This window comes from Homo sapiens, chromosome X (genome assembly GCF_000001405.40).
Source record: "Homo sapiens chromosome X, GRCh38.p14 Primary Assembly".
Classification (NCBI taxonomy): domain Eukaryota; kingdom Metazoa; phylum Chordata; class Mammalia; order Primates; family Hominidae; genus Homo; species Homo sapiens.
The window spans coordinates 114,068,890-114,076,500 of NC_000023.11; the positions used below are offsets into that span (position 1 = coordinate 114,068,890).

Here is a 7,611-nt window from a genome sequence, read left to right on the forward strand (position 1 = left end):
CCCAAATTTGTGATGTAAGGAAGAAAAAAATAGTATCTTTTCCTCATCCATCGCAAGGTTCATGGCTGATATCCCTATAAAACAGATTAACAAGAGAAAAGCATACCAAACTTATTTAGCCAAAGTTTTATGTGACACGGAGCTTTAAAAAATGAAGACCCAAGACCCAGGGAAAACTACGTATTTTTATACTAAGTGTGATATAAGAGGTGGATAGTTGTAGAGAAATGTGATTGGACAAAAAAGGGGTATTATCTAATGGTAATAAATTGGGGGGAACTCAGTAAGGCCTGTGTCCTCAGATTCTTTCCTGTGTTTCTGTGTAACAATCTTTCCATCCCCCCGACCATCTCCCCCTTCTTTATTCCATACGGTAGGACACTTGTTATATGAGAGTCTCCAAGTCAGAAGGGAGGAGGTCAGCAAGTGACATCCCTAGGTTTCCCTTCCCTTCCCTTCCCTTCCCTCCCCTCCCTTCCCCTCCCCTTCTTTCTCTTTCTCTTTTCTTTTCTTCTTTTCTTTTTTAAAACAGGGTCTCACTCTGTTGCTTAGGCTGGAATACAATGGCACTATCTTGGCTCACTGCAACCTCCAGTTCCTGGGCTCAATCAATTCTCCCACTTCAGCCTCTTGAGTAGCTGAGACTACAGGTGCTCATCACTACGCCCAGCTAATTTTTTGTAGTTTTCGTAGTGTCAGGATCTCACCATGTTGCCCAGGCTGGTCTCAAACTCCTGGGCTCAAGCCATCTGCCAAGGCTTGGACTCCCAAAGTGCTGGGATTACAGGCGTCAGCCACCGCGCCCAGCCCCTTCCTAGGTTTTCTCATTTGCTTAAAGGGAGAGGAATTCTAGCTTCCCTAACCCACTTCAGGGGAGAAAGGAGGGTGAGAGAACACTGGAGAGACCTTCCTGCTTCTGTAGCCCTCACAATCTTCTTGAGTTAAAAATATTCAGCATGCGAAAACTTTGTACTTTTGGGTATCGTGTTCTGAATTCTGGCAGTGACCTTCAGCAAATTACTTAACCTCTCTTAAAGTCTCATTTTCCTCTTCCGTAAAATTTGTACATGAACAGCATGAAGCATGTCTATATGACATCAAACGTTTTTTAAGCCATATTATTTAATATTTAATAAATACAGCAAAAAAAGAATGTAATGTATGTTTTGACTACATATATTATGATAAGCATAGAAAAAGACCTAGAAGAATAATATAAAATAAAAATAGAGGTTACTTCTCTTTATAACTATTATGATGATGTACTGAATTATTATTTGTAAAGTACTCAAAACAATGCCTGATAGGTATCAGCTGTGACATAAGTATTTGTAAAACAAAGCACAAAGAGGTGTTGTCAGGATTAAAGAACTTAATGCATATAAAGTACTTAGAACAGGGCCTGCTGGATAATGAATACAAGAAGTATAGCTGCTATATTTCTGTAACTTTTATTTTAGTTTAGGGAGTACATGTGAAGGTTTGTTACTTAGATCAACATGTGTCACAGGGGTTTGTTGTACACAGTATGTCATCACTTAGGTACTAAGCCCAGTAGCCAATAGTTATCATTTCTGCTTCTCTCCCTCCTCCCACCCTCCCCCATCAAGTAGAACCCAGTGTCTGTTGTTTCCTCCTTTATGTCCATGTGTTCTCATCATTTAGCTCCCACTCATAAGTGAGAACATGCAGTATTTGGTTTTCTGTTCCTGTGTTAGTTTGCTGAGGATAATGGCCTCCAGCTTCATCCATGTTCCTGCAAAAGGCATGATCTTGTTCTTTTTTTTTTTTTTTTTTTTTTTTTTGAGATGGAGTCTCACTCTGTCACCCAGGCTGGAGTGCAGTGGTGTGATCTCGGCTCACTGCAACCTCCACCTCCAAGGTTCAAGTGATTCTCCTGCCTCAGCCTCTCAAGGAGCTGTGTGTGCTACCATGCCCAGCTAATTTTCATATTTTTAGTAGAGATGGGTTTTCACCATGTTGGTCAGGATGGTCTTGAACTCTTGACCTCAAGTGATCTGTCTGCATTGGCCTCCCAAAATGCTGGAATTACAGGCATGAGCCACTGCGCCCAGCCAGATCTCATTCTTTTTTATGGCTGCATGTTTTTTAAGGACTGTAATGTGAAAGTGGGATTAGACTTGACCTCCAAAAACAGTGTTCTAGGAAAATAGCAGAAATGTATAAGGAGTTGCATCTCAACAGACAAAAGAACTTTTCAATAGTAAGAGTTTTCCACTTGTGCTGGTGAGGGTATATAATCTGTACTCTTGATTCAGATAGATATGTTTAAATCTCAATTCTTTCCTTTTTGAGCTTTGATTTTTCTCACCTATAAACTGGGCAAACGTTGAAAGTAATTCTAACTATTAAATAAGAATATTTTAAGAGGATCATTGTCTTATTCTAGAACAGTGTCTGGAACTTAGTAGGCACTCAATAAATATTTCTTGAATGGGTTTGCTAAAAGAAAATGCTTCAGTGTTAGTTACCGTAGGATCAGGGAGAGCTTCCACCTTGGCCCTCTGAAGGTTCACCAAAAAATTGAGAGAGGAGAAAGGAAAAAACCCAGTCAGGCAGGCAGTTAGTGTGGGTCCTTGGATGAATTCTTTCAAACAAAAGAACAGCCTGCTGGCACAGATAAGGGAACTTGCACAAGGGGGCTTGCCTAAGCCATGGCCACAGCTACACAGACAAGAAAGGCTACACAGCTGACTTGCCCAGACATGCCCGCAATGGAAAATTCTGTCCCCTGGCACGTGCGCACAGTAAGGAGAACAAAGCAATATGGAGTAACTCAAGCTGAGGGCCTGCATGCACATTAGGAGGATTGGGTGGAGCTACCACAAATTTGTGCCTTATGCAAATAAGACGCCCAGCCCTCATCAGTTTCTTATAAAAGCCTTTGCGTTCAATTGCAAAAATGGCAACCCTCCTCCAGGACTCCTCTCTGTGGCAGAATGCTTTCTCTCTTTCTTTCACTTTTTTAACTTCTGCTCTAACCTCACTCTTGGTGTGTCCACGTCCTGGATTTTCTCGCCATTAGACAAAGATCTCCAGGTAATACCTAACAACAAGAGACTGCTACATTGTGGTGCATTGGCGAGACTGTAACAAAATCAACTCACAAAAGACAGATTAATTGGAGAAAAGGCAAATTTGTTTAACATATATACACGGGAGCCTTCAGAATGAACACCTAATCCCCCAAGGATGTTCGGGAGCTTATATACTCTTAAAAGAAAAACTTCAGTTGAATTAAATTTAAAGGAGTTTAATTGAGCAATGAATGATTTGAGTTTGAACACTCAGCAGTGTATGAATGGTTGAAGTATGACTGCTGGGATCAGCCAAGACTCAGCTATTGCTACAGATGCATATTCCTAAGTTAGGTTTTCAATCTTGTCTACCTATTAAGTTAGGTTACAGTTCATCCACAAGGACTCAAATATAGAAATACGGAGTCCTTCTCAGGCCATATTTAGTTCACTTTTACAATACCATCCTGATAAAATAGGTTATGGAAGGGTGGAGAAGAGGAATTCTGTTGAGGGAATTACGAGGGAGAATGAATGGATCCAGGAATAGAGATTAACTTGTAAATAGTTCTGTTTGACCGTGCAAGGGTCTGTTCAGGTGTGGTTACATTCTTGGTCTTATAGGGAGGGGAAGAAAAAACAATTTTTCTCCTTGGTGGGTCTGGATATTAGGCAGATAAAGGAACTTCAGCTTCTTTGGGAGAGGCTATGGGGGCAGTGGGGAAGGTCAGAGAGACCTTGAGAGTTCTTCAGTTCAGCATGTCAACACCTATTTGGGGATATTAGTTTCTGAGCCCCAACATTATCTTTCCTATTTCCTGACAAAAATCCAATCTTTATAGAGATTTCAAGAAACACTTCAACTTGCAAAAAAGAGGCATGGAAAGAATGGGACTGTTTATAATAATGAAAAATGGGGAAAAGAAAACTAAAAGGAGAAATTCACAGCTAAGTACAACCCATGCAGATGAAAGTTCATTTCTCAGATAGTGTCTTTGTAAGTTGGAGGGGGAGGGTCGAGATCTCTTCTCCTTCTCTTCAATATCCCTTTCCTCCAAGGCCATCCAGGAAGCCTTACACAGTAAAACACAGTTTAGGAACTAACACCTTTAAAGGTCTCAGGGATTTGAATAGATTGAAATTGTCTGAGGGAATGTGTTTTCTGAATCGTTTTTGATAAGCCATTCAAAGAAAAGAGAAAGAGTCCTTCAAATGACTCTCTATACCAACTTTTCCCCTGATGAAACACCTGTTTTCAGATATTATTCTTAACTTTTCAATGAAAGACTCAGGAATGAAGAAAAATAAGAAGCACAAAATAATAAAAAGAACAGAAAAAGAGATTATTATATGCAAAGGATCTGAAAATTGCCCTGGGAACCAACAGGAAGTTGATATGTCCCAGTGCCCCAGGAGAATCAAGGAGGTTTTTAAATCAACTAGATGGAGAATGTGAACGAAGTGCAACATTTATCTATACATCGACAATACTTTTCATAGTAATGTTTTATTGCATGAAATGGCTGTTTTTTCTTTTTTCTTTTGTTTTGAGACAGACTCTCACTCTGTTGTTCAGATTAGAGTACAGCAGAGCCATCTCAGCTCACTGCAACCTCCGGTTCCCAGGTTCAAGCGATTCTCCTGCCTCAGCCTCCCGAGTAGCTGGGACTACAGGCGCACACCACCATGCCCGGCTAATTTTTGTATTTTTAGCAGAGACAGGGTTGCCCAGGCTAGTCTTGAACTCCTGGCCTCAAGTAATCCACCCGCCTCAGCCTCCCAAAGTGATGGGATTACAGGCATGAGCCACTGTGCCAGGCACATGAAATGGCTTTTTAACTGTAAAACAAACAAGGAGATGAACAAAATTGGGATGATTTTAGTCTTCACGTGATATTTCTCTCCTGTGAAAAGAAAAAGATGCAAGGGTATTGAAAATCTGCTGATTCGGTTGCTGCAATGCAGTCTTGAAATCTCATTGCCAATTTAAGTAGGATAGCAGGGGAAAATATTTTATAGATTCAAAGAACAGCTTCTGTCACTTTTTCAGCCTCTCCTTTTCCAAAGGCCAAATGTTAGGATAAGTTGTGTTTATGTTGTACAACGTTTTTTAATTCTTAAACTCTAAAACCTCCTCCAAGTTAAGCAGATTTCAAGGGCTGAGAAACAAAAGTGAGTGAACAAAGGAAGCAAGTCTGACCACCAAGGGGAAAAGAGGCGGTAATAGCAGCCTGCAGCATTTCAGGTCTTTTCAATAGTGCCCAGTGCCCCTCGGGAAACAGAATATAACTGGAAATTGCCAATTAAAACATGAAGTCAGAATTGCAGATTTTCCAAACAGGTGATTTCTCTGGCATGCTATAAGGCTGTGCAGAATCAGACTTGAGACCCTGAATTGGATAGCATATGGGGAAAATATAATTTGCAAGCAGAAGTTAAATTTGTTTTCTATTTAAAATTTCACAGGACCTGGAACTGATTAGTCCTTTCTTTATGGAAAGCAGAAAATGAGAAAATCAGGGTAATGATCATTAGTGAAATGTGATACACATTGATATTCTGTAACCAGCCGAACTACAGGTGATTAATCATTAAGGCAATCACATATTCTTTACTATTTTTAGGAATCTCAGATATTTCCATTATAAATGCACAATGATGAAAGTGCCTCTTTAGAAGCAGCTGATCGTTAAATGGGTTATAAGCTAAATGAAATACAAATCAGCTAACATTTTAAATTTACTGTCATTATTACATAAAAAATGCTTTGGCTTTTAATATATATAATCTGTTAAATGAGAGAAAGCTATGTATATCTGTAAGTAAATAACTTGTTTATGTTCAAAATTTAAACTCATAAAGTTTGGAGGGTTTTTTTTTTCTTATATTCGGACACAAACCAGATACTGAATTAAAACAAAATTTTTTTCTTTAAGTTTTAAAAAGAGGGAGAATTTACTTAAAGTATATAAAAGAGTAGACTCTGTGGCAATCATAGCAGTGACTCAAAACTAAGAAAGAAAAAAATTTGCTATTGCTACACGTCAAGTAACAAAATTAGATGAAGAATTTTGCTGTTGCCCAGAAGTCAAACATTAAAACTTTTAATTCTTAAAATATTTTTATAGGTACTATTGGAAGTGTTACTAGTAAAGGTAAGAGTGTTTGATAGTTCCACAATGTGAAGATACGCTAAATACGTGGTAAATGAAGATTCATAATATCTATATGTGATTATTCATGTAAAGGTAAAGAATCATACATTATTTTAATACATATTTTTCTCTCACTTGTTTCTTCCATATTTTCTTTGTAATAGTGGAAAAATATATATGGGGGCCATCTAGTGGCCAATGCAATACTTTTTTTTTTTTTTTTTGGCTTTGAAATTAATTATTAGTTTTCCAGAATTGTATTCTATCTCTTCTGCTGTCAAAACAAGGAGAGATAAACATGATTTCCATGATGATAAGAATCCCTTAGTAGGTGTTTTCTCCATTGAACTGTCTGGATGTCATCCTTTAAAATTTGTTAACCGGTGGTGGAAGCTGGGAGGTGGGGGAAACATGAATAATGACAAAAGCCTTAAATGTCAAGAGAGATTTGCTTAATCAGTTCAGTATTTAAGCAACTTGATCAGCAAAGGTGCTTGGCTTTAACAGTTTTTTAAAGAATCATTTTTGAGTGCAGGTTTAAAATTGCATTACTACCAATCCGAGTGACATAGTAAATCAATTGAGGACAGGGCTGTAATATTCAGCAGGTATGCACTTCAACTGCTGAGGCTTCACAGCTAGTATCTCTTCTGATCTGTTAGTGCTTCTGCTGTGCCTGTTGACTATCATGTTGAGTGGTGGATGTGAAATATCTATGTATAGAGGAATATGCCTGTGCCTAGTTCCTATAATAAATCAGGCAAATTATCTAACCAGAATCTTGCTGTTCATTTAAGAACTACAGTTATTTCTGCCTTCTTTTCTCATCCCCGGAAGCAACCAACTTTAACAGTCTCTTGTATATCCTCTTTGAAAGGTTTATGACTATACAACCATCATTTTTATTATACAAAGTGTATCACACATACTATCTTGCTACTTTTTATCCACTTAATATATATTTGAAGATACTTCCCTTCATGTTTATAAAGAGCAGGTGTCTTCTTTTTGAATTGTTGCAAGCTACTCTAATGCATGGATGTACCAGGATTTATTTAGTCCTCTACTGATAGGCATTTAACTTGTTTCTAATCTTTGGTCAGTACAAAAAAGTACACAAACAGCATCCTTGTACATATTTCTTTGCTTATACATGACAGTATTTTTTTTACTACGTTCTGTCTACCTCTTTATAACTCTTTTATTTTTATTATTTTTTATTTTTTTGACACAGTTACAGGAGTCTGCCTCTTTTTAAACATTTAATACTTACTATGTAGAAGGCAAAGGTGCTCCGCTAGGTGTTGGGAATGCAAAATAGTCTAAGACAGCGGCTCTACACTCATGACATTTTTAATGGAATTGGATAAACAAGATGCTGATAAAGATAAAGAAGCAAAGTAATGTATGATTTCTAA

The 7,611-nt window shown here is 38.1% G+C and overlaps 4 annotated features.

Annotated features, from left to right (window-relative positions):
* Positions 2,155-3,354: an enhancer, noted in NCBI's record as "MED14-independent group 3 enhancer chrX:113314234-113315433 (GRCh37/hg19 assembly coordinates)". NCBI's record gives its function as "activates an origin of replication core promoter dependent on BRD2, BRD4, P300/CBP and CDK7 cofactors, and independent of MED14, by STARR-seq in HCT116 cells {active_cell/tissue: HCT116}" and the evidence as "EXISTENCE:reporter gene assay evidence [ECO:0000049][PMID:35650434]".
* Positions 2,225-2,741: an enhancer, noted in NCBI's record as "H3K27ac hESC enhancer chrX:113314304-113314820 (GRCh37/hg19 assembly coordinates)". NCBI's record gives its function as "activates a minimal SCP1, AML or CMV promoter by ChIP-STARR-seq in naive and primed H9 embryonic stem cells {active_cell/tissue: H9 hESC(naive and primed)}" and the evidence as "EXISTENCE:reporter gene assay evidence [ECO:0000049][PMID:30033119]".
* Positions 2,490-2,784: an enhancer, noted in NCBI's record as "tiled region #12400; HepG2 Activating non-DNase unmatched - State 24:Quies". NCBI's record gives its function as "activates a minimal TATA promoter and a strong SV40 promoter by Sharpr-MPRA in HepG2 cells {active_cell/tissue: HepG2}" and the evidence as "EXISTENCE:reporter gene assay evidence [ECO:0000049][PMID:27701403]".
* Positions 2,742-3,256: an enhancer, noted in NCBI's record as "H3K27ac hESC enhancer chrX:113314821-113315335 (GRCh37/hg19 assembly coordinates)". NCBI's record gives its function as "activates a minimal SCP1, AML or CMV promoter by ChIP-STARR-seq in naive and primed H9 embryonic stem cells {active_cell/tissue: H9 hESC(naive and primed)}" and the evidence as "EXISTENCE:reporter gene assay evidence [ECO:0000049][PMID:30033119]".